The sequence below is a fragment of the Homo sapiens genome, chromosome 3 (genome assembly GCF_000001405.40).
Source record: "Homo sapiens chromosome 3, GRCh38.p14 Primary Assembly".
Classification (NCBI taxonomy): domain Eukaryota; kingdom Metazoa; phylum Chordata; class Mammalia; order Primates; family Hominidae; genus Homo; species Homo sapiens.
In genome coordinates this window covers 44,393,568-44,419,492 of record NC_000003.12, presented here as the reverse complement: position 1 = coordinate 44,419,492, position 25,925 = coordinate 44,393,568, and the positions used below count along the sequence as shown (strand labels likewise).

General features: G+C 45.0%; 1 protein-coding gene across 5 annotated transcripts in view; it reads right to left on the bottom strand.

Annotated features, from left to right (window-relative positions):
* Nucleotides 1-10,044: 10,044 nt before the first annotated feature.
* The window catches only part of TCAIM (T cell activation inhibitor, mitochondrial), a 71,320-nt gene continuing 55,439 nt past the window's right edge, over nucleotides 10,045-25,925 (bottom strand). For all 5 annotated transcript variants that reach the window (NM_001282913.2, NM_001282915.2, NM_173826.4 and 2 more), the window contains 5 exons: nucleotides 22,996-23,093; nucleotides 22,659-22,750; nucleotides 18,906-19,138; nucleotides 18,159-18,290; nucleotides 10,045-12,051 (listed from right to left, as the gene is read on the bottom strand). In NM_001282913.2, coding sequence (NP_001269842.1) covers nucleotides 11,811-12,051; nucleotides 18,159-18,290; nucleotides 18,906-19,138; nucleotides 22,659-22,750; nucleotides 22,996-23,093 — 796 coding nt within the window. In that variant the 3' untranslated portion in view covers nucleotides 10,045-11,810. The remainder of the gene's footprint in view (nucleotides 12,052-18,158; nucleotides 18,291-18,905; nucleotides 19,139-22,658; nucleotides 22,751-22,995; nucleotides 23,094-25,925) is intronic.

Below are 25,925 nucleotides of genomic sequence, written 5' to 3'. Positions count from 1 at the left end.
TGGGCCCTGGGCCTTGGAGGGAAAGGTTGCCAGGGCAGGGGCTGTGGGTCTCTCAGGCAGAGTGACTGGGACCAGGGCCTCCAATCCTAACCCAGCATGGGCTCTTAAGCCTCATGCTCCTCCAACCCACAAGAGCCCCAGCCAGTGTCATAGAAATGCCCAGAGAGATACAAGCCCAGCCTGCAGCAGGAATCTGAGTTCATGCTGGGGTGGGGATCAGGGCTCAATGTACACCAGCAGAGTCTCCAGGGCAACAAATCCCCTGGACGAGCCACCGTGCTCTGCCCTGTGGCCTGGCAGGGCCACTTCTGCTGACAGTGGATGTATGAAAAAACCTGGGCAGCAGTTTCCTATCAAAGTTGGCCTTGTTGCCCATTTCCAAGACAGTTATCACTTTGAGCTCTCAGAGTCTCTAATCCAGAAAGGCAACCGACAGTGGGTGTGGGCCCCCTCACGTGGGCTTGGTGCCCTGTGTTGGATGACGGGGGCCTTGCAGTTAATAAAATCAGCAACTTCACCCCAGGCCAGGATATGTTTGTGTGTGTGGTAGGGAAAGGGTAGGGGGGATGGAAGTGGGATGAGTAGGGATCTGTGGGTGATCGCATTCTTCCACTCCCTGAAAGATGAGGAGATGGAGGGTCAGAGGTGGAGAGACTCTAGAAACACAACTGTGAGGAGAGGGGCTATTTGGTCATGGAATTCACATTCTGCCCCCAGTGGCAGGAGTGGGAATTGGGGGGATCTTGGGAGTCGAGTGTCCTTGGGGATCACAGACCATAGAGACAAAAGCTGTCAGGCCTGGGCAGGGAGGGTGCCCAGGCCATGCATTCAGCTGACTTGCTCCTGGGGGTTTGTTCTGAGATCCCACTCAGGTGAGCTGAACTTGCTGCACTGTGGCTCTGATAGGGTGATGTTTTGAGTAAAGCCCAAATCTCAGGTTTTCATGTCTCCCACGCAGAATTTGTGTCAAGGGGTGGTGGCCTGTTTGGGGCAGAGATGAGGGAAGGGTGAGGGGGTTCCAGGTCTGTATTAGTCTGTTTTCACACTGCTGATAAAGACATACCCAAGACTGGGTAATTTAAAAGATGTTTAATGGACTCACAGTTCCACGTGACTGGGGAGGCCTCACAATCATGGGGGAAGGGGAAAGGCACACCTTACATGGCGGCAGGCAAAGAGAGAATGAGAGCCAAATGAAAAGGGAAACCCCTTATAAAACCATCAGATCTTGTGAGACTTATTCACTACAATATGGGGAAACCACTCCCGTGAGGCAATTATCTCCCACCAGGTCCCTCCCACAACACATGGGGATTATGGGAGCGACAATTCAAGATGAGATTTGGGTGAGGACACAGCCAAACCATATCAAGGTCATCTGAGGGTTGTGCACCAAGGAGGTGATTCCTGGAGAAGAGCTGAGTGTCCTGAGACTGCAAGGTCTGGAGGAGGAGACACAGGGTCTAGCAGGGGCTATCCCACAGGGACCGTGGGGTCAGTGGGGAGCTCAATGGGGAGCCCCAGGGGCAGATTTCAGTTCCATTCGGAAGAGGTTTTGCTTGTTCAGAGCTGCACCCCACCTTGTGAGCTGCCTGGTAAGTGAGTGAGCGATCCATCACTGCAGGCATGCAAGCAGAGTCTGGGCAAGCCCTGCTAGGGCCTCCCAGGCTGCAGATGGCTACAGGGTCCTACTGACCACACACTCCTACCAGGACTGGGAGTGGCCTGAGCCAAGCACCCTCCTGTCCAGGGGCATCCAGGCGCTGTCCTCCCCTTCCTCCCCCAGCTGCTGGGTATGTGTCTTCAGGTGTGGCTAAAGGACGGGGCATTCAGGGAGAGACCCAGTCCTCTGCCCCCAGCCACCTTATCTGCTCCCTCACCATCTCTAGTGCCTTCTGACTCAAGGCCTGCTCTCACATCTGCTCTTTCCCAGCTCTGTGCCTCTCCCCCAGCCACTCAAGTGGCTTCTCCCATGTGAAATGCTCCCTCTTGCTTTTCTTTGCAGGCCTGGAGTCAAGGACAAGTCCCCCTGGGTCAGAGCTCCGTGCAATGCAGTTGCAGAGTTTGTGTGCCTGGCTCTGAGGGCCGAGGTGGGGCACAGGAGGAGCCACTGGGTCCTGAGGCATGGGGAGGGCATCCTGGAGGGCAGGAACAGCTTGAGCAAAGCTATGGAGGCTGGAAGCTGAAACGGAGCAGGTCATGGCGCTGGCTGGCCCAGCAGGTCCAGCCGCAGATATGGGCAGGAAGAGGTGAGATGGGAGTGGGCAGCTTTTAAGAGACCCATTGAGGAGCTGCGACTGTTTCTTCCGTCCTGGGGAGCCACAGAAGGTGTTTGAGCAGGGGGTGCAGTTCTGAAAGTGTGAAGGGTGGGCAGGGGAGCGCTCAAGGGCTGAGATGGTGTAGATATCTGCAGGGACAGGCCATCTGCGCAGGTAGATAGAGTGGGGGAGAGAGGGCGGGAAGCTGGGACAGAGTTGACATGGAGGCCTGGAGTGATGGGCAGGGAGCAGGATGGAGAGGGGTGGTGACAGTCTCCTTGGCTTCTGTCACTACACTCTTCTTGAACAGGCCCTCCAGCAGCTCCTTTGACATTGGGGCTCTGGTGGAGGAAAATATTGGTGCGGCTGGAACCTGATCTGGTCCCTGTCCTCCAAACACTTGTGGCCTATGGTGGGCAGGCCTCGGAGTGGTCTTTGCTGTGGGTGGGGGCTTTGCTGGGAAGCTAGTGTTCAGGTGCCTGGTGGTGGCCAGGGAGGGGCACCAGGACAGTGGGCCAGGAACCCCTAAGGGGCTAACCCTAAGGACTATCAGCACCCTCAGCTTGGAACTGGGTCTTGCCCCCCGAAAATGAACTCAGCAGGGCAGGGAAACTTACTTCCGGGTTCTCTGCTAGAAATTGAAGGTACCCGTGACCCTCCCATGAACCTTCCCCAGTGAGGTTTCCAATGTCTGCTGGACCAAGCCAAGAGAAGACATTCAGAGGGTCCTCAACAAAGGATGTTAAGGCCCTCCAGAGGGCATGACTCCCTTTGACCCGCAGGGCCCCTATTCCTACCCTGTGCCAGGTCCCTGTGGGCTGGAGTTTGCTTTAGTGATGGCCTGATGCTGAGCCATGCTCCCTGGACCTGCATGTCCCCATCGGTGACCTACATGGATGGAGGTCCAGGAGTAGGGGGAGGGGAACCCATGAACTTGGGTCACTTGGATACCAACCTCACGGACAAGGGCAAGTGGCCTTCAGGAGCCTGTCACAGCCCTCAGGCACACTGATCATATGAACCTGTCTCACATGTTTACTGAGAACCTACTACATGCTGGAAAAATAAGGCCAGAGACATCCTCATGTGCCCTGCTGGGTGGCCGTCGAGGCCCTGAGATGCTCTATGGTGACTTATTTGCCTCCCGAGTGATGGGATTACCATATTCTGACTCTGATGAGGCCTCTGGTAGCCAGAAAGTTCTTTCTGTCTTACCACTTGTCTACTTTGCTTAAGCCTTGTCTTGTCTTGTCTGCCTTGTCTACTTTGGCTTAAGCCAATATTAGGGCAGCTGGTCAACCATTCAGGATGAAGGACATTCTAACCTCAGACTGTTGGGGGAAGATGGCTTCATGGACATCCAAGTTCTCTGCTGTCCCACTGCTGAGCTCGCCTTTCCCCAAGGAAGTGGTTCTGGTCAGAACAGAGAGTTCCAGCCATCCCGGGTGATGGCCTGGGGCAGAGGTCCCTAGTGAGCCCCAGGCCTGGATGGGCTGGCCCTACAGATCAGGCAGTGGGGAGGGCCCTGGGTTGGGACACACCAGATGGCCCTGGCTGGCTCCTCTTGCAGTGATCCCTGGCCCTGGGTTTGAGGGATGTGGGAAGCGCACACAACCCTGGCTCGGCCCGGTCCCTGTCATACGTGCGACGTCGCCTTGCCAGTCTGGTACACAGGGCCCTCTGCGTGGTTTCCTTGAACATGTGGCCTCCATCCTGTGGTGACCTCCCTGCCTGGGGCCGTGCTGGGTGTACAGACGTTAGTGAGCAGAGCATTGAGTTCTGGAGCCAATAGGCCTTGATTTGGGGCCTGGCTTCTTCACTTCCTGGCAAGCTAAGCTGAAGATGGGGATAGGTCGGTGGTCCCCCCTCTGTGCCCACCCTGGAGGCTGCAGCAAAGACTCCATGGAATGAGGTGTACATAAGGGGAGCCCAGCCCTGGCTCAGGAGGGAAACAGATTCCTAAGGCTGGGGGCTTGCTGTGCGCAGCCCTGTGGTGCTGAGACCACCTGCCCAAGAGAGCCATTGCTTCTCTCTCCCTCTGCTGCTGAGAGTCTCTGTGGGCTCAGCATGGGGAGGCAAGGTGTCTGGAGCCCAGCCCTCAAAGCCCCCCTGCCTGGCCCTCTGGTTAAGAGCCATCTGGAGAGAGTGAGTGGGTCTTTCCCTGACCCTCATAAATGGGGAGCTACCTGCTGCTCTGACCTAAGGAGACTACTCGGTGGGGGCAGCTCCTCCCTGTGCCCAGTGCCTGTGCCATCTCCTGTTCCCCGCATGGGGGAGGGGCTAGGACACCTCCCTGGACTCACTTTGGACTTTGGCTGGTGAGAGACAAGGGGGCCTGGTGAGGCGGTCTTGGGATGGGACATGGGCCCTGCCCTGAGGTTGCACAATGGGAGATGAGGGGGTAGCCAGATAAGCTGTGCCTCGAATCATGTGGAGCCAGACATTACCGTGGGCTGGAGAACGTGACTGTGCATTGCTTCTGACTGAGAAGGGACTGGGAGACACACTCAGAGCAGAGCACGCGAGGGTCACTCCAGGGACAGTGGGCCACTTGGGTGAGAATGGCAGGGCCCAGTTCCTAACGGCCGCTGGCTCCATTCCACATGTATGCCCATCACCTCCTTCGACTTCACAGCAGAGCTCACACACCACAGACACCCTCCTTTCAGCAGCCAGGCCACAAGTGTTCCCCACCTGCCAGTTTATAGCTGGGTTGGACACACAGTGAGGCCCCAGCCATCCAGAGCACACGACTGTAGCAACTCTTCCCTCTGGAACACATCGGGGTTACCCCGACTGGGGAGAAATGTCAGCTGCAGAGCCCATGCACCTTACTTTGAGGAACAGGTGGGTTGCTAAGGCCAAGGTCATGAGGAGCAAGGCTGCTATCTCTCAGCACAGAGGATGACAGCAGTCACTACATTTTGCATTTTAAATGAATGAGCAACATGCGAGCAGGAATTCAAAGGCTGAGGGCACATAGGCCTCTAGCTGGGGAGTGCCTAGGAAGGAGCCAAGCCTGGCCTCCCACTCATGGCAGGGGGCATTGCTGAATCATTGTTATCAGTCTGGGTCCAATCAGAAAACAGAAACACACAGTGATTTATTTTTATTTATTTATTTATTTTTTAGGGGGACAGAGTTTCGCTCTCGTTGCCCAGGCTGGAGTGCAGTGGTGTGATCTCGGCTCACCACAGCCTCCGTCTCCCAGGTTCAAGAGATTCTCCTGCCTCAGCCTCCTGAGTAGCTGGGATTACAGGCATGTGCCACCACGCCCGAATAATTTTTGTATTTTTAGTAGAGACAGGGTTTCTCCATGTTGCTCAGGCTGATCTCGAACTCCTGACCTCAGGTGATCTGCCCGCCTCGGCCGCCCAAAGTGCTGGGATTACAGGCGTGAGCCACCACGCCCAGCCAACACACAGTGATTTCAACAGAAGTTTAAGGCCGGGCATGGTGGCTTATGCCGGTAATCCCAACACTTTGGGAGGCTGAGGTGTGTGGATCGCTTGATTCTAGGAGTTTGAGACCAGCCTGGGCAACATGGTGAAACCCCATCTCTACAAAAAATACAAAATTAGCTGGGCGTAGTGGCATGCACCTGTAGTCCCAGCTACTTGGGAGGCTGAGGAGAAAGGATGGCTTGAGGCCAGGAGGTCAAGGCTGCAGTGAGTCGTGATGGTGCGTGCCACTGCACTCCTGCTTGGATGACAGAGCCAGACCCTGTCTCAAAAAAATTAAAAAAATATAAACATGAGAAGTTTAATATAAATATTGTTAAATGATGTTAAAGAATTGTTAAAGGATGTAAACAATCTCAATATTGAACACAGGGCTGCAGGAGACCCCCCAGGAAAGGAAGGTTAGGACAGGCGCATGGCTCACGCCTGTAATCCCAGCACTTTGGGAGGCCGAGGCGGGCGGATTACCTGAGGTCAGGAGTTCGAAACCAGCCTGGCCAACACGGTGAAACCCCATCTCTACTAAACATACAAAAATTAGCCAGGCGTGGTGGCGTGTGCCTGTAATTCCAGCTACTCGGGAGGCTGAGGCAGGAGAATCGCTTGAACCTGGGAGGTGGAGCTTGCAGTGAGCCGAGATCATGCCATTGCACTCCAGCCTGGGCGACACAGCGAGACTCCATCTCAAAAAAAAAAAAAAAAGGAAGGTTAGAAGGGAGGCCCCTCTCCAGGGCTGGTGTTGAGGCCAAGCCACCAAGTGTAGAGGGTGGAGAGTGGTGGCCCTCAAAATCATCCATTCATTTGCTAAACCTCAGAACCTTGATATCACCTCATGTGGCAAAGTATATGATCCAGTTAAGGCTCTTGGGAGTTAAGCTCCAGTGAAGCTTGTCATGGGTGATCTGGTGGGTCACATGCAGCCACACGTTCTCATAAGAGACCAGCAGAGACACGGGGAGGACACTGGGAAGAGGAGGTGGCTGTCACCAGAGACAGAGCCAGGGGAAATGTAGCTGCAAGTGAGGGAGTGCCGACAGCCACCAGGAACTGAGGGCAAGAAGCAAAGGAAGGGATCCCACCCAGAGCCCGAGGAGGGCCAGCAGCCCTGCTGACACCTTGATGTCAGATGTGTGGCCCCCAGAGCTGTGAGGGAATCAATTTCTATTGTGTTAAACCACCGAGTTGATAACTTAGTTCAGTCACAGGAAACCAGTGCACTGAGGGAAGTCTGCGGCGTCAGCTCCTCAAGGGCAGCGTGTTTGTCCTTGCTGTGTCCTCAGTGCCCCGGACAGGGCCTGCATACAGGAGGTGCTCCCTCAGTGTTTATTGGATGACTGACAAGAAAGGAAAAGACCGAGAATTTTACCCCAAGGCTTAAAAATCCTGCACTTCAGGGGCCGGGCACACGGACTCTCACCTCTAATCCCAGCATTTTAGGAGGCCGAGGCGGGTGGATTGCTTGAGCCCAGGAGTTTGAGGCCAGCCTGGCCAACATAGTGACCCCGACCCTACTAAAAATACAAAAATTAGCTGTCTGTGGTGGCATATACCTGTAGTATGAGCTACTCAGGAGGCTGAGGTGGGAGGATTGCTTGAGCCCAGGAGGCAGAGGTTGCAGTGAGGTGAGATCGTGCCATTGCACCCCATTCTGGGTGACAGAGGGAGACCTTGTCTCAAAAAAAAAAAAACCAAAATAAAAAAAACATCCTGCACTTCTGGGTGGGGATAAAAGTGAGGCACCAGGGCTGGCACTTACACAGATTATCCCTGCCTCCCAATCACACAGCCCCTCCTGAGGCATCTCTGCTGTCCTGCTGACCTAGAAGTCTCTGGCTAATGCAGGCGGCCAACAGGTCTAAGCCAGTGCCTGTGGTAGTGACAAATGAGAAAATGAAAAAGAAAAACCGACTGCCTCCCACTCTTGAAGATTGTGAGGGTGAAAATCTGATGGCCCTTTCAGTTTGGGCAGCACACTCTGCTGAGCCACTTTCCCCCGAATGAGTGGCGTGGTGGGGACTTTTTGAGACAGGGTCTCACTCTGTCACCCAGGCTGGAGTGCAGTGGTGCAATCATAGCTCACTTCAGCCTAGACCTCCTGGGCTCAAGTGATCCTCCTGCCTCAGCCTCCCTAGTAGCTGGGATTACAGGCATGTGCCACCATGCCTAGCTAATTTTTCTTATTTTTAATAGAGAAGGGGTCTCACTATGTTGCTCAGGCTGGTGGTGGGCACTTTGGGGCAGAGGTGTGCAAACGTCCCTCTGAGCATGACATTCCTAGGGGCCTTTGTGGTCCCAGGGCGCCCCGTCCCCTGGCTGGAGCAGAGGGAGAATGGGGCTCCCTGAGCAGCTTGGCTGGTGGGAGGTGTGAGGGGCGAGGCCTGCCGGGATTCCCATGGGAGCAGTGGGGAGCAGAGCTGCAAGGTGCCGCCCTGACCCAATCTGCACAGCAGTTCTGTAGAAGCAAGTTAGGCCCTCTCAGCTGCTGGCTCATTCATTCCTACCATCGTGCCAGGACTGACACGCCCGGCCACCCAGGGAACATCTAGGGTCCCTGTGTGTCTTTCTCTGCTGTGATCCTATCCTCCTCCCAGATGGAGCAGTGCTGCTCTGAGGTCCCACGTGGTGGTGACCCTAGACCTGGTGCTGACCTCATGGTGGGCTTGCCCAGAGCTGGGGGTGCTTCTGCCTGCTCAGATCCGTCCAGCCCCTGGGACACCTGGATTCTAATCTCACCTCTCCTGCCTGCAGCAGGCAGAAGGGTCTTGGACAATTCTCTTCCCTAGTCTGGGCCTCAGTCCCCTGATATGTAATATCTGTCAGCTTAGGGAAAAAAAATTCCCTAAAAAAACTCCATAACAGTTCCCCATGAGGGAAAGGGTTTTTTTTTGTTTTGTTTTTGAGACTGAATCTTGCTGTCACCCAGGCTGGTGTGCAATGGTGCGATATTGGCTCACTGCAGCCTCTGCCTCCTAGGTTCAAGTGATTCTCCTGTCTCAGCCTCCCAAGTAGTTGGGATTACAGGTGTGAGCCACTGCACCTGGCCTGAGGGAAGGGTTTTGAGCAGTCAAGAGAACCAGGTTGTAGTAGCCGAGACTTGGGGGAAGAAGGGTCCCACAGCACCGATGCAGGTCTCATCTGTCTGGGGCACTAGCTACTCCATTTCTTTCTTCTCGTTCTTGCCCAACTGCTATGGAATAAGGGGTACTTAGGCTGGCCAAGGACCACCCATGGGAGCTGTCTGGCTTCCTGGGACAGATTTTCTCAGGGTGGCAAGAACCTCTAAGAACATGCCTTCGTGCCTCCTTTTATAGGTGGGGAGACTGAGGACAAGTGAGGGGTGGGTCTTGCACCCAGGGCCACTTAACATCTGCGGCCACTGGGACTCCATATCGGGGTCGATTTTCACCCATGGGATGGGACCTGTTGTGACCTTGCCATGTCAGAGGGCCTGTGGTTGGGGTCTTTGGCCAGGTGGCACAGGTAGGAGTGTGGTCTTGGAACAGTGTGGGCACTTCATGGTTAGCCAGTTGCCAGGCCTCACTGGATGCCTCTGTGGCTCCTATACCTTGGCCTGTGGGTGGGAGGTTGCCAGGACCATGGTCCCCTACAGAGGAGCCTGCAGCCTTGGGGCCCATCAGTCTCCATGGAACTGATTTGATCTGCTTGGTTTGCTCCAGGGAAGCCTGGGCAGAATTCTCCAGGGAAGCTGGGGGTGGGGCGGCAGACTCCATGAAAGAGGTCAAGTTAGTATGGGGGACACAGGGGCATCAGGTTGCTGGGACAGTGACCTGAGCTGGAGGGGGTTAACTCCAGGGACCTCTATCTGGGATATACACTTACTCCCAAGAGATGCCAAAGGTGAGCTGGCCCTTGAGACAGCCCTGGTCCCTTTTGTCCCACCTGGCCACTTCTGAAAGCCCACTACCCTCTCATTAGCTCAGGAAGGCCACCTGGAGGTGCAGTCCTTTAAGAGAAAGGAGGAAGTAGGGCCTGGTAAGAACCTGTCCTAGGGAAACACACATGCCTTCCTGCCAGGACAGCCTGGGCAGGGGAGTGCAGGCCTGTTTCTCCCTTGGGACAGGCCTAGCCCTGAGCTGGAGCTCAGGTCCCTTTGGAGACCACTTCTCACCTGAGACTTTGTAGAAACAGTGAGGGGGGCCTGCTCCTGTGCCAGCTTTCAGTGGTGGGACAGAATTTTCTCTTTCATGTTAGAGTGGGAAAGGAAGTCAAACAGGCATATACAAGTACCAATTTCTTCTCATTTCCTATTATACTGCAATAGTTCCAAAACTAATAACAGTTGGGTAACAAGAAAAAAACAGTTATCTGGTTGATGTATTATTTATTATGTAACAGTTCTGAGAAAAAATCCAATTCAAAACATATTACTGAGGATTCTGTATTAGTATATTTTAGAAATCGTATAATCCAAAGCTGATTTTCTAATATATTTTCTTATATAACACTTAAGGAATTTTTCACTCCCATTATTTGGCTCTAGAAAATCTTATGGGAAACATTTGTTACACTAGAAAACAAAATTTAAGTACAGTTGTTAGGCACGGTTAAAAGGGATGATACACACAAACTATAATAATTACAAATCAGTACTTCTTTTGAATACACATTTGAATGTAAACTTTTAAAATCAGTGTTTTAGATAAATATAAAACATACTTCAAGAACTTATTTTAACATCTCTTTTACTTTCTAATGCTCTTCAGAAAAAATTCCTTTCTGATTCATTCAGTAGCAAGAGCCCAAAAATGGTGTTCCAAGCCAAGATTCACCTTGTCCTCTTCAGAAATGACCTGAAGAGCTTTTGGGTTGGTTAAAAATATTGCCCGAAGGTATCTTAGGGTAAACTCGAAGAGCTAAAAGCACTGAATCCAGAGATCAGGTCTCTCGGCTGTGCTGGGGACACCATCAACCACTTGGGGTTGAATTCTATTGCTATGAATGAGAGGTGACTCTGAGGGGCTTTAACCAGGCCGGGGCTAATGACAGGGTTTCAAACATCAGTAATAACAGGAAGATCGTGGTTGAGAAGAGTGACAAGAAATCCTGAATGGTCTGAACCATTTTACACTTGATTCTATTTCTTAGAGCTCTTTGGGAAACAGGCAAGCAAGGCTTTTCCTGGATAGTGTTTGCCCATGAAACAAATGAATCACCTCACTAAATGATTAAAAAACATTTCCTGTTGGTTTCATACTACTAACAATTATAATATTTTAATGGATAGGAGAAATTATGGGTTTAAAATTAAATTCTCTGTTAATGCACACGTTTCAATAAACTGGTTATCAGACTGCTTATGACAATGTCAGTACCATACATTCAACTGCTTTTAGTCCTTCTAGTCTTTCTCTTGGGCAAAATTGGTGGTTATCTAATTTCTGTTACCTATCAATCACCTGTTTTGGACATTAACTGTCAATTACTGGCTGCAAAATATGTCTGTGTATATTTACATGAGATGTAACTATACAGATGCATGTTGAATTGTAGACATGAGTTCCATTATTTCAGAGCTATACTCTGAATGTGAGACCTTTATATTTACACACACATACCTCTCCAGCCCAACCCAACATTCATTCATATAAAAATATATGACTATTGTAGAATCCTTCATTTACATATCACTAAAAATATGTTCTTTCATTCTAACATCTTTTTATCTAGCCTTGCCAACCAACATCATAAGACTGGGATATAAAATCTTTTTATTAGTTACTTATTTATTTTAAATTATCATTATTATTTTTTGAGACAAGGTCTTGTTCTGTTGCTCAGGCTGGAGGGCAATGGTGCAATCTGGGCCCACTGCAACCTTGGCCTCCTGGGCTCAAGTGATCCTCCTATCTTAGCCTCCCTAAGTAGCTGGGACCGCAGGCATGAGCCACCACGCCTGGCATATAAAACCTCTCCTAGCAGAAATTAATTTTTTTAAAAAAGTCTACTTTTAAAGCAGCAGTTAGAAACTTTGTTCTTATGTAAATAATACTGTTATATCAAATTGTGGATTTAAATATTTTTAATTTAAGTTCCTTTCTTATCTCTTAAAAAAATAAAACAGATTTCTGTGTTACTTAATGGCTTCTCCATTCTTCCAATTCCAAGGAATACAAAGGTCTCCATCTTGCATAACAGAGTAAAAATGTGAAATGCAGAGGTGCATCCCATGTAGGTAAGGCAGTGATTGTTCTAGAAGTCTCTTACAACAATCCACCATTTGTATACTAGAAATGCTGGGCTCTTTATATAACTTCTCCAAAGAAAATTTCTTTGTTGATGCCTGTATCAATTCATTTTCAATAACCTTTAACCTATTATATAGAAAATAAAAATATTGTCATAAGAACAAATATTGTCATAACCAAACAAAAGAACACACAATGTAAATATATTCTTACATGTTGGGGCCCTAACTGTGCACTCACAACACTGAAAATGCCACCCACAAAGGCCAAATTATACGTTTGGAAGACACGCCAATAGCCATCATTGTTAAATCTTTTGAGTTACTGTCACATGGATCTCTAAAAGTATTTGTTAATGTTTTTAGCAGTAAAGGGCTAAAAATAACATAAATTTAAAAAAGCTCTTATATTGCCTTACCTAGCAGCTGTTAGTGACTGAAGGAAGGAGAAAATGAAGAATATAAAACCCCTAGTTTTAGGACCCACCTAAAGTTTAACCCTTGGGAAGTAATGCTGTCTAAAGATTTCCCAGATAAAAGCAGGCTCACAGAAAACCAGGATCCTGAGGAGGACAGGTTCTCTTCACTCTTACTCTCCTACCTCACCAGCCCCCTGTCTGTTCCCTCCCCTCTGCCTGAGGTTACAACTCTCTTATTCCATCAGGGGCTTCAGTTCAGGTCTACAAAGTATACAACTCTAGGCAGAACTCAGTGTCTCAAATACTTTCTCCCACAGGTGGCAAGTGCTTAGGGATACAGTGTTTTGATAAGTGGATTCAATGTGCTACATCTAGACCAACACATGAGTTACTCAGCAAGCCCATTTAACAACGTGAATAAAGCAAAACTGCCATGGTCGTGTCCCTGAACCAGTCTATTTAAAATACTTCATTGGTTTAAAATGTCCAAATATCTTACATTTAATCACCCTTAAACACTGCATAGAAAAGTAGGTACTATAAAATTTCCATAAACTAGACAGTAAAAAACAGAAATGGTCATAGCAGTTAGTTATCATGGCCTATAATACTGATCACTTTCTTAAGTGCTGTTTGCTTTTTCTGTAAGATTATTCTTACTTAGAATATGCTGCTTAGAGATTCAAGCAGACAGACAGCAGTCAGGGCTGATGGTTCTGCAAATGTTTCACAGCTGGGCCTGCTTCTAATCTCTCCAGGATTAGACAGAAAGAACCCTTAAACTTCTATCAATAGCAGGGGATGAGTAACTTTTTCTGTAAAGGGATTTTTCACTTGTCAAGAAAAGATATTAACAACCATGCTTGGAAGTGAAAAGCCTTGTAGTGTGACCATGTTGCTGCATAGTTCTCCAACAATATATCTTTAAAATCTGGGCAAGACTCTCATTTTCATTCCTTTTAGGAGAAGCCTACAGTCTCATCTCCAGGTTTCCCAGACCCATGGGTCACAAGCTTTATATCAGGAGAACCCATCAGTTCTTCTGAGGTACAATCTTAGAGAAGCATTGAGAAGGCAGCCCTTGTTAAGGTTGCCCAGGGTTGTCCCCTCAACAGGAAAATAACGTGTACCAGCCTTTCCTCATCCTTGGGTGCCTCTGCAGTCAGCATGAGATTAATTTTTTTTTTTTTTTTTTTTTGAGATGGAGTCTTGCTCTGTCGCCCAGGCTGGAGTGCAGTGGCGTGATCTTGGCTCACTGTAACCTCTGCTTCCCAGGTTCAAGCGATTCTCCTGCCTCAGCCTCCCAAGTAGCTGGGATTGCATGCATGTACCACCATGCCCGGCTGTTTTTTCTATAGTAGAGGCAGGGTTTTGCCATGTTGGCCAGGCTGGTCTTCAACTACTGACCTTAGGTGATCCACCCGCCTCAGCCTCCCAAAGTGCTGGGATTACAGGTGTGAGCCACTGTGCCTGGCCTTGAGATAGGGTCTTGCTGTTGCCCAGGCTGGAGTATCACTGTCGTGACCATGGTTCACTGCAGCCTTGACCACCCAGGCTTAGGCAAACCTCCTGCCTCAGCTTCCCAAGTAGCTGAGACTACAGGTGCAAACCACCACACCCAGCTAATTTTTAAATTTTTTGTAGAGACGAGGTCTCACCATGTAGCCCAGACTGGTCTTGAACTCCAGGGCTCAAGTGATCCTCCTGCCTTAGCCTCCCAAAGTGCTGGGATTATAACTGTGAGCCACCATGCCCACCCTTTAGTCATTGTTTCTACTACATGCAAGTATCAGAACTACTTAAACACTCTTCTATTACTGTACATTTTGATTGTTTCCAACTTATTTAAGTGATTTTAAAATTTGAAATATATGATATAGAGTAAAAGGAAACATCTGAGTGGGTTACTATAAAAACATAAAGTGAGGAATGCCCCTGCTAGGGAGAGCTGGTTGATTCTCAGGTGCAGGTTACTCTGGGTTATTACCACCCTACAGAAGAACTGTGAACTAGGTTATCACCAGCCTCCAAAGGACTGGGGGTTCCACAGGCAGCAAATACTGTCTATATGCCAGCCAGGCAATGCCAAGAGACAGGAGCTACAAGTCACACAGTTTTGGGATGGTCATGTGGGTTGTACATACTAGCTTAGAATAGTGTGGGTTTTTTCCCTTTTTCTAACTATTCAGCAAGCTGAGAGTCCAGCAGAGCTGCTACTGTGAGGACCCTGTGAGCATGGGTGGCCTCTGGCTCCTTTTCTTTTGAACTAGAACAGCTGAGAGCTTTAATCTTTTTTATTAGGTTGGTGCAAAAGTAATTGCAGTTTTTTGCCATAAAAAAATGGCAAAAACTGCAATTACTTTTGCACCAACCTAATAAAAATAAACTATGTTTCCACTTAAGAATCCACCTTATAAGTGAAAAAGTATCTGAAAACCACTCTCTAGGAACATGCTTCACTGAAGGAAAGAAGTTAGTCTTCATCACTGCTCTTCGAATATAATGAAGGTGTCTTACTAGGGCAGGGACAGCAGAGCAAAGGAAGGAAAGACAGCAAAGGCGAGGAGAGGCTCCTGGGCCCAGAGTCAGGGGCATGAGGATGATGACTGAGCAGGAAGGAAGGTTGGGACCAACAGCAAGTGCTTTCTCTTCTTGGGGGCTAAGTATAGGGATGAGGACTCTGGGGCCCAGAGCCAGAAAAAGGCTAAGGAAGCAGGTGAAAGGTCAATCGGTATTTCCTGAAGGCCCCCTGTGTGCCAGGCACCCATCCCAGTTGGCACCGGAGGGAACAAAATAGACTGAAGTCTTCCCTCAGTGGGCTTACCTTCTGTTGGGAAGGAGAGAGAGAGAATACATTAATAAGGAAACAGCAAATTTGCTGAGGTGGATGGAGAAAGGCAGGCCAGCTGAGGTGGAGAGGGGAGTGCAGCAGAGGGTGGGGACTCCATGCTTCGAGTTGTGTGGCCAGAGAAGGTGGAATGTGAGCAGGGCCTGAGGAAGCTGAGATTTCTGAGGAAGGAGTGCCTCAGGCTGGGGGAAGGCACACAGGCCCAGGAGTGGATAACATGTCAAGAGTGCCCGAGGACTATAAAAAGGCTGGAGCAGAACGAGTGAGAGGAGAGTCCCAGGAGCTGAGCTGAGAGAAGCAAGGGAGTGGGCAGAGGGTCTGTGGGCACTGGGCAGAGGAGTGACAGCTCTGACTAGGTTCCCACTGCTGCTCTGACGAGAGTCCACTGCGGGGTTGGGGAGATGCTGAGTGTGGAAGCCTGAAGACCAGACAAGAGGCCATCACAAAATGATGGAGGCTCAGACCAGGTGCAGCAGGAAAGGAAAGGAGAAGAGGTGAGTTTCTTTCCATGTCTGCTCTGAAGGTGGACTGGGGTAGGGAGTGAGACAGGGGAGAGGAATCAAGATGATTCATGGGTTTTTATTCGCCTGAGCAACTGGTAGGACGGAACATTCACAAATTGACCTATTTGAATTTTTTTATTTTTACTTTCCTTTCTCACAATCTAATAAGCATTACTCCAAAGCTATATAATGGCCATAGAGAAAAAGAGAAAAAGCAGCCGATAGGTTATAGCAAACAAAATAATCAGTCCTAATGATGAACAGTTGGCTAGAATTGCTCTTGAGGGTTAAAGCAGATGTAAAATTTAGAAAAGAAATAGCATGAACAAATACTTAACAACCAATCAAGAGGTAGGGTGTGATAGGATCTGGCCTACCGAGTTGTCATCAATTCCATAAGGAAAACAGGAAAACAAAAGAGATGCTGCTCCTTCATTTACTTTATATATAAAATGATCTCACTGTCTCTTGCTAAAAGAATGGCTTCCATCGTTAGTTGCCATCCCTTCTCTCTATTTATTTATTTTTCTGAGACGGAGTCTCGCTCTGTTGCCCAGGCTGGAGTGCAATGGCATGATCTCGGCTCACTGCAAGCTCCACCTCCCAGGTTCAAGTGATTCTCCTGTCTCAGCCTCCCGAGTAGCTGGGATTACAGGTGCATGCCACCACGCCCAGCTAATTTTTATATTTTTAGTAGAGACGGCGTTTCACCATGTTGGCCAGGCTGGTCTCAAACTCCTGACCTCAAGTGATCCGCCCACCTCGGCCTCCCAAAGTGCTGAGATTAAAGGTGTGAGCCACCATATCTAGCCTCTCTCTATATTTAAGATTCCTGGCTTTTTAAATGAGTACTTTGTGGAAACTGAGCCTCAAATGAACGGTAAGGCGGGAGAACTGCTTCCACTGGCACCCTGCTAAACAACCAGGTTCCATCACCCTGTCCTCTTCTCTTCTCCTTGAAACTTCCCTCCATGGACATGTGGAATGGCATTCTCTCCAGCTTCCATCCTGTTCCCTGCTGTTGCCTTCCCTTGTCCCCTATGCTACCAGGGTGTCAGCTTTGGCTCTTCCCACTTGACTGTGCTCCAGCTACCACTGGCAAATTTACAGCACTCACATCTCCTACTAGAAACAATTCCAGGAGGCAGAGATCATGTCTGAGTCTTTCTATCAATGGCATTGATCTCAGCTTTGGGCACGTAACAGTCACAGTAAATGCTGGCTAAGTAAATGACTTCATTTCTTCACAAGTGATACATAAAACATTATCAAGCAATATCTTACCACCTACAAAACAGGAAACTGTTGGCTATAATAGGACTCCTTCAAAGATACAAACAACATAAAAACAATACTGCTTAGGAACTAAAATGATACATATATTTTTTTGAGAAAGGATTTCATTATGTCACCCAGGCTGGAGTACAGAGGTGTGATCACAGCTCACTGCAGCCTTGACCACCCAGGCTCAATCAATCCTCCCACCTCAGCCTCCTGAGTAGCTGGGATACAGGCATGGTGCCATGCCTGGCTAATTTTTTTTTTTTTTCCCCACCATATTGCCCAGGGTTTCACCATGTTGCCTAGACTGGTCTTGAACTCCTGGGCTCAAGTGATCTCCTTGCCTTGGCCTCCTAAAGTGCTGGGATTACAGGCTTGAGCCACTGTGCACGGCCTAAAATGATTTTTTGCTTTAAGGTTTCTTCTCAAGTTAATTAAAATGCAGATAAAGTTTTATTTATATCAATAGTTAAAACGTTTATTTTTTTTCTTTTTCTCACTCTTTCATTCAGGCTGGAGTGCAGTGGCATGATCTCGGCTCACTGCAACCTCTGCCTCCTGGGTTCAACCCATTCTCCTGCCTCAGTCTCCTGAGTAGCTGGGACTAGAGGTGACCGCCATAACACCTGGATAACTTTTGTATTTTTAGTAAAGATGGGGTTTCACCATGTTGGCCAAGCTGGTCTCAAACTCCTGACCTCACAAGTGATCTGCCTGCCTCGGCCTCCCCAAGTGCTGGGATTACAGGCATGAGCCACCGTGCCGGGCCTAAGATGAGTTTTGTACTTTAAGTTTTCTTCTCAACTTAATCAAGATACAGATAAAGTTCTTTTTATATCAACAGTTTGAAAATTTTAAAACAATAAAGATTCCTGTTAATCAAGAAATAACCAATATTTTTCCTTGTTGTCAGTCTTTTCCATCTGGAAAATTCCTTGCTGATATTCTTATTTTTCATTCTGTTTCTGAATTGACTTTTATATTAAGAAGCTGTACTTCTCAAACTGAGGTCCGTGGTGGTAATATAATTTAGGTAGGGAAGAAATAAATATGGAATATCTAATAATTAGTCAATTTCCTAAGCTTCATACTGTTTCCAGGTCCCATATTTATGAGTTCCAAATATCTGAGGTTTTCAGTTAGACTGAATGATCTGACTTTACAGAAGACTGGCAGTACTTACTCTTCCTTTCTTTTCATGTTCTCTCTTGCCTGCTGAGCTTTGGTGAGAATAAACCACTGGAGATTTGCTGGATCACAGAGTGTTGGAATATTAAAATGCCCGAGTTCATGCAAGCTTGGAGCATATCTGTCACTGCAATAAAATATACATTAAAGGAAAAACCACTGACCCTCTCCTCTCCCCCACCAGAGAAAATATTTTATTAGTCTTCAGGAAAATAAAAAAAAATCATCAAGAAAAGCCACCTCAAAAGTACAGCAACATTGACTTAAAGCTTTGCTGCCCCCAAAGACACACTTCTTCAGAAGATCACGACCTACTTGCAAGCCCTCTGACCTTCCTTATCTGTCACATGCCAGGGGTGACCTGCTGCACAGTGAGGTTGTGAGAGCTAAAGACAGAATGCATATAAGTACCCAGCACAGTGCTCGGCAAACAGTGTATACACCACAAATGTTGGCTACTGATTTACTATTAGTTTAATCTTATAATGTTTTCCATTGGATTGACTTTGCCCAGTAAATCTGCTCAGCAATATATTCAAAGAATGTTCTAGACATTAAATCCTTCAATCCTCCCATGCTGGCTTTTCTAGTGTGTAGAAGAGGGTTGCTAACACAAGTAGTGGCATTTTTTTCTTTAATTCCTAAGAACTACCCATTGAAATACAAAACAATTTAATGCATTTACACACACAACCCACCTAGACGAAGGAATAAAAGTAATCCTTCTATCTTAGATATTTACCTGTTAAGGATCATTTGTAAACCACGCAAACTTCGAGGGTGAAATAGTATTCTACTTTTCAACAGTCTATTATAAAACACATCAAGAAGAGAGTAATATTCTTCAAGTGTCAATACTGGCTGTAATTCTTCAATATAAACAACTTGTATGCCACCTAAAAGATAGCTTATTTGGTCTTCTAAAATCATCAGCCTCCTCTGAAGGTCAAAATAACTTGGCAATCTTTCAAAAAGCTACAGTGTTAACAAAGGGAAAGAAATAATTAGTTTTATGTTACTATAATAATTTAATTTTAGAATTCCAATAAATGGCATTAAGACATTTTTAACAAGAAAATGATTTTCATTGAAGGAAAGTTCAAGTAAGAGATAAAAAAACTTAATGTAATGCTGGAAATATTAATATTCAAAACAAGCCACTGTAAATCTTTGGGATTTTTAGATGGGAATTTGTGAGGTTCCAAAAAAAAATATGCTCCAAATGAAAGTAAGTCCTAATCCTAAGCACTAATATTTAAATATTTAGGTAAGAATCTTAAATTAGTTTAGAATTATTAAATGGCATAAAGAAAAGTTTTAGAAATAAAGTGTATGTATTTCAACTCAGTCTATTCCTTCAAAATTTACTTTAAAGCAACTAAATACAATTAAGTGCAATAAATATGATTGCGCACCTACCATATACGTAAGCACTGAGCTGGACACTTCAAGTGTACAGATTATAAGAGTTTGTCCCTGTTTGGCTGGGACTCACAGTTGGGGTACAAGGAAACAAAAATCCGAATTTAGCATGCTAAATGCCAAATCAGGCTGAGTGGATACAGAGGAGGTTCAGGCAAAGGTTTCTAAGGGAGTCTAATTTAATCAATCTTAAACATTAAGTAAGATTTAGAAATGGCACATGAATGTAAGGGATGTTTTGGGGGAAGGAAAAAGAGCATGTGCAAATATGGAACCATGAAAAGGAACAGCATGTTTGGAAACAATAAGGAGTTTGGTATGGCTGGCATGTGACCTGCTGCGATTGAGTGGAAAGAGAAGGGCTGAAGGGGGACGTAGGGGCTGGGTCAGGGAAGGACCACTAAGGACTTAAGATTTTCTATTAAAAGCCAGGGCCTTTTAGAAGAGTTGGAAGGCATTAAAAACTCTGCTATAATAAAAGCAATAGCTATGTAAAAATTCTACAAATTATTTATAATCTACTTTTAACATCTTGTGGAAAATAATTTTACTCCCTATTTTTCAATTTTTCCATGGGTTACTCATGTATATATGGTAACTACATTTTAAAAGCTTTTTATTTTGAGATAATTGTAGATTCATATACCTTTCACTTAATAGTACATCTTATACAATTATTGCCATAATATCACAACCAGGAAATTGACATTGATACAATTCATTAATCTTACTCAGAGTTCATCAGTTTTACTTGCATGCGTTTGTGTATTTTTCACACGTGTATTCATTTTATTATATGTGTACAGAGCCGTGTGACACTGCCACAGTCAAAACACACAGGAGTTCCATCACAGGGATCCCGTTTATAGCACTGACACCTCTGCTCCCCTCTCTCTACTTCCTGGCAACCACTAATCTTTCCTTCCTTTCTATCATTTTATTATTTCAAGGGTGTTATGTAAATATAATCATACAGTTTGTAACCTTTTGAGACTGACTTTTTCACTCAGCACAATGCCCTTAAGATCCATCCAGTTGCTGCATGTATCAATAGCTCATTCCTTTTCATTGCTGAGTAGAATCCTATGGTATGGATGTACCAGTTTGTTTAGCTATTCACACACTGAAGAAAATTCATTTTTTCCTAGTTTTTGGCTATTATAAACATTCATGTACAGGTGTTTGTGTGAACATAATTTTTCATTTCTCTGCTGTAAATACCCAAGGGTGACTGCTGGGTCATGTTTAGTTTTGTAAGAAACCATTATAATCTTTTTCCAGAATGCCTGTACCACTTTACATTCCCATCAGCAATGCATGAATGACCTATTTTTTCTGCATTCTTATCAGCATGTAACTATTTTTCATTTTAGCCGTCCTGGTGTGTAGTGATAATGCACTATGGTTTTATCTATCTATCTATCTATCTATCTATCTATCTATCTATCTATCTATCTATCTAATCTTTGTATCTATTTGAGACACAGTCTCGCTGTGTTGCCCAGGCTGGAATGCAGTGGCGCAATCTCGGCTCACTGCAACTTCCGTCTCCCGGGTTCAAATGATTCTCCTGCCTCAGCCTCCCAAATAGCTGGGACTATAGGCGCCTGCCACCATGCCCGGCTTTTTATTTTTTTTTAATTTTTAGTAGAGACGGCGTTTTACTGTGTTTGCCAGGCTGGTCTCGAACTCCTGACCTTGTGATCCACCTGCCTTGGCCTCCAAAAGTACTGGGATTACAGGTGTGAGCCACAGTGCCCGGCCAATAAACATGTTTTTATGTGCTTACATGTCATCTGTACGTTCTCTTTGGCAACATGTCATTTCATGTCACCGTTTTTGGTTGGATTGGTTTTTCTAGTAGCCCTTTTTAGTTGTTTTTTTTTTTCTGCTGAATTTTGAGAGTTTTAGATTGCCCTTTTTTAGTTGGATTGGTTTTTTCTCTTCCTGCTGAAATTTGAGAGTTTGAAAATATATTCTAGATATAATGTCTTTGTCAGATATACGGTTTGCAAATATTTCTACCAAATAAATATTTGATTTGAACAGACGCTTCACTAAAGAAGATATGTGGATGACAAATAAGCACATGAAAAGATGCTCACCATTATTTATTATTAGAGAAATGCAAATTACACATTGAATGAGATTGTACTACAGAGCTATTAGACTGACTAAAATTAAAAAGATGACCATAGTTAAGTGTTGGCAGTTTTTTAAAAAGTTAAAATGCTCTACCATATGATCCAGCCATTCTATTCTAGGTATTTACCCAAGAGAAAGGAAATATATGTCCATATATTTGTGCACAAATGTTCACAGCAGCTTTATTTGTAATAGTCACAAAGTGATACGACCCTATGTTCATCAACAGGTGAATGAATAAACAAACTGTGGTATATTTATACCATGAAATAGTACGCAGTAATAAAAAGGAATAAACTCCCAATACATGCAACCACATGGATGAATCTCAAAATGAGACAGTGAAAGAAACCAGACACAAAAGTTTGCAAGCCCTATGATTCCACTTATGAAAAACTCCAAAACTAATCTATAGTAACAGAAAGCAGACCAGTGGTTGCTTGGAGAGGGGGTGGTGGGATGGGAGGGAGTGTTTACAAAGGGCCATATGCTCACATATATGCCCAGTTGTTGGATACGTTTGCTATCTTGACTGTGATAATGGCTTCATGGGCATACATAATATGTCAAAACTTACCAAATAACACACAAGAAACATGTGCAGTTTATTAAATGTCAGTTATACCTCAATAAATCTGTTAAGAACAAGTAAAACAAAACAGAATATAGGCTTTCAGGCTGTGCTTCAGAAAAGAATGCAATATTACCAGATAAAAACTGCCTTAAAAATCAGTCTTTCCTCTTAAGTATTTTAAGTACATGGTATTTAAGCATCTGATCTGAAAACAGCTGATACTGCGATTAAAAACATTAAAAAACAAAAACAAAAACACAACAAACCTTTTTTTAGTCCCTTAACATTACAGCATTGTTGGAAATGAAAGTTTATGAATGACAAGGAGTTTTTAATTTTAAGGCTCTTTCTTACTTTTGTCCAGTGGTGATGGACATCCATTGTTCCTAGCATCACATGGCCCACTGCACTCATGCCAGAACGGTCTGTAAATATGATTGTACACCCTGATGACAAAACACAAAACCTTTGGTCATGGTCGAGGTGCTTCATTCTTTCAGCATTGTGCAAATAGTGTATAAACCCAGGATTAAATTCAGTAGAAGCTTAAAGGCTAATTTTATGCCACTGCTTTATTCAAAGAACAGATTTAAAAGTTCAGCTGTGATAAAGTTATTTGGTTTTTCCATTAAAATTTATAGACGTACATAGCAGCTAAGTGATTTTTTAAAAGAAAATGGAAAATGTTTACCTTTTGCTTTTTTAAGTGTTTCCAAATTCTGCTGTGCTAAGCGGCTTAAACTATGCAGCTGGCTACAGCGGTGGGCGATGCCCCAGCTCCTCTGCCACCTAGGCCAACAGAGCACACACTCATGTTAACAAGTGGCACCCTGAAGACGGAGCGAGCACCCACCACAACTACTGGAGTCCTTGGAAAGCCAATGAGTCTCTTTTTGAAGCACACACATAACATGTTTTGATTGATCATATGTTTCTAAGCTAGCTAATTTTTAAAAAAGCAACCAAATGGAAAATGAATTGTTTACCAGAGGGCAGAAATATTACTACTATGTTCAGGTATCCAAAGATTTAAAATAAGCAAATATAAGATGTTTCTATTTAAAAATAAGATGATGAAATGGGAAAACTTTGAAAAAAGTGTTTTTCTTTTTCACATTGTTACAATGACGATGGTTTTGTTTTAGATTCAAGTTCCAACTACGAATTCCAGTTAGGTTTATCAGGTTCTCTTTTTTGTTTTTGAGACAGAGTCTCACTCTGTCGCCCAGGCGGGAGTGCAGTGGTGTAATCACGGCTCACTGCAGCCTTGACCTCCTCTGCTCAAGAGATCCTCCTACCTCAGCCTCACGAGTAGCTGGGACTAAAGGCATGTGCCACCATGGCCGGCTACTTAAATAAATTTTTTTGTAGAGACAGGGTTTCACCATGTTGCTTAGGCTGGTCTTCAACACCTGGGCTCAAGTGATCCACCCGCCTTGGCCTCCCAGAGTGCTGGGATTACAGGCGTGAGCCACCGTACCTGACCTCAGGTTCTTTTTATCTCATTCTAGAGAAAGTGATTTTGATGAAATCATGTAATCTGCTCATTTTATAAATTAATATTAAGCCTCAGTGACACATGGAACCTGACACTGACACGATGTCAGAGGCCCTGCTGTGTAACTGAAGAGCACCGGTCTCGAGTGCTGTCAGAAAACCCACCTTGGAATTCTAATTCTGTGGTTTACTAGCTCTGTGACCTTGAACAAGCTGCTTTTAGCCTTCCTAAGGTTTTCACTTTCATGCTTGCAAAGTGAGGATGTTTCCTGCTACACAGATAGTAGGCATCAAATGAGGTAATGTGTGTGAAGGAGTCAGGCATTCAAAACAGGCGCTCAAGAAACGTAGGTTCTTCTTTTATCCTAATACTAATTCTGATGAATGTCATTTCTGATAAAATGAAAACTTGTTTAAAAAATTGTTTTTTTCTTTAAACTACAATTTAAAAAGTAAAATATAATTTCAAAGAATATTAATTTTTGATTACTTGAAATTAAAAAATTTAAGTGACAAAGGTAGTAAATGCTGTTTTTGTTAAAAATGGTGTTTTATATAGGCTGTTTAGAATGAAAAACAATGTCATTAGTTAATGTTTCTGTTTGCTGGAGTTTTGGCTAATTTTTTAGCAAGTAAAAAAGCCCTCATGCCCATGGTCCTCAAATGTTATGGTCTCAGGGACCCTTTTATACTCTTAAAAATTGAAAACTAGAGTTTATGTGGGATATATACATATATATATATATATATATATATATATATATATATATTTTTTTTTTTTTTTTTTTTTTTTTTTTTTTGAGACAGTCTCGCTCTGTTGCCCAGGCCGGAGTGCAGTGGCGTGATCTCGGCTCACTGCAACCTCTGTCTCCTGAGTTCAAGCAATTCTCCTGCCTCAGCCTCCTGAGTAGCTGGGATTACAGGCACGTGCCACCAGGCCTGGCTAATTTTTGTATTTTTAGTAGAGACGGGGTTTCACCATGTTGGTCAGGCTGGTCTCAAACTCCTGACCTCGTGATCTGCCCGCCTTGGCCTCCCAAAGTGCTGGGATTACAGGTGTGAGCCACCATACCCGGCCGGGTTATATCTATTGACATTTACCATAATATAAATTAAAGCTGAGAAATTTCTCCATGATACTGTAAAATAATGTTTATTTCTTTTTTTGTTTAAGAAATCCTTTCATTTTCCTAACCCCAGTCTGCTTTGACAGATCTTTTAAAATTTCTATTAGAAAAAGTTATTTGCATGCACCTTAATTTATCTTATAAACTTTTAAAAATGATCTTACTATTTTTAGTTAGAAAAGTTTATGCTAATAGACTATGGAATGGGAAGAAACCCCTATAATAAAGTTTAATCTGAAAATGATTAGTGTGATGATAAAATAATGGATATATGCATACATTCAAACATTCCACACATGGAAGTCTAAAAGAATGCTTTGAAATTCTGAATTATCTTATGATGATTTGATTATACAAGAACAGAACATGTAAATACTATCTGTACTCTGTAAACACAGGAAAAAAAGGTGTTTTTATGGTACCCAAGTCATTTGTTTTAATATAAGAAAAAAAAGTCCTAATAATGAGAATTGAAAACAACAAAACAGGCTATTGCAAATAGTAACAAAGATGTTTAAACATGAAGACTGGATGACGATTTTTCCTAGTTCTAGTGATGGGAAGTCCAGTGACTGAATGACCTGACTCCTTTTCCCTTCCTTACAGTTTTAAGAACTGTTAAATCTATTCCACAATAAATTTCAGCATGGATCTTTATATAACTGCAATTTCCAAGTTTATGAAAACTTACTTAAAAAGTCCTGCTATATAATATAAAACCAAGAATACAACATCCATTTTCTCTCTCCCCTCCTCTTTTTAAACTCAAATACTAATCTTTTAAAACACTTATTATTATTATTATTTAGAGATGAGGTCTCGCTATGTTGCCCAGGCTGGTCTCAAACTCCTGGCCTCAAGTGATCCTCCTGCCTTGGCCTCCCAAAGTGGTAGAATTACAGGTATGAGTCACTGTGTCTGGCCTTAAATATCTTACAAGATGGGGGCATAATTATTTTTTATATATTATGTGTATATGGAAGAGGGTATTTTTCTT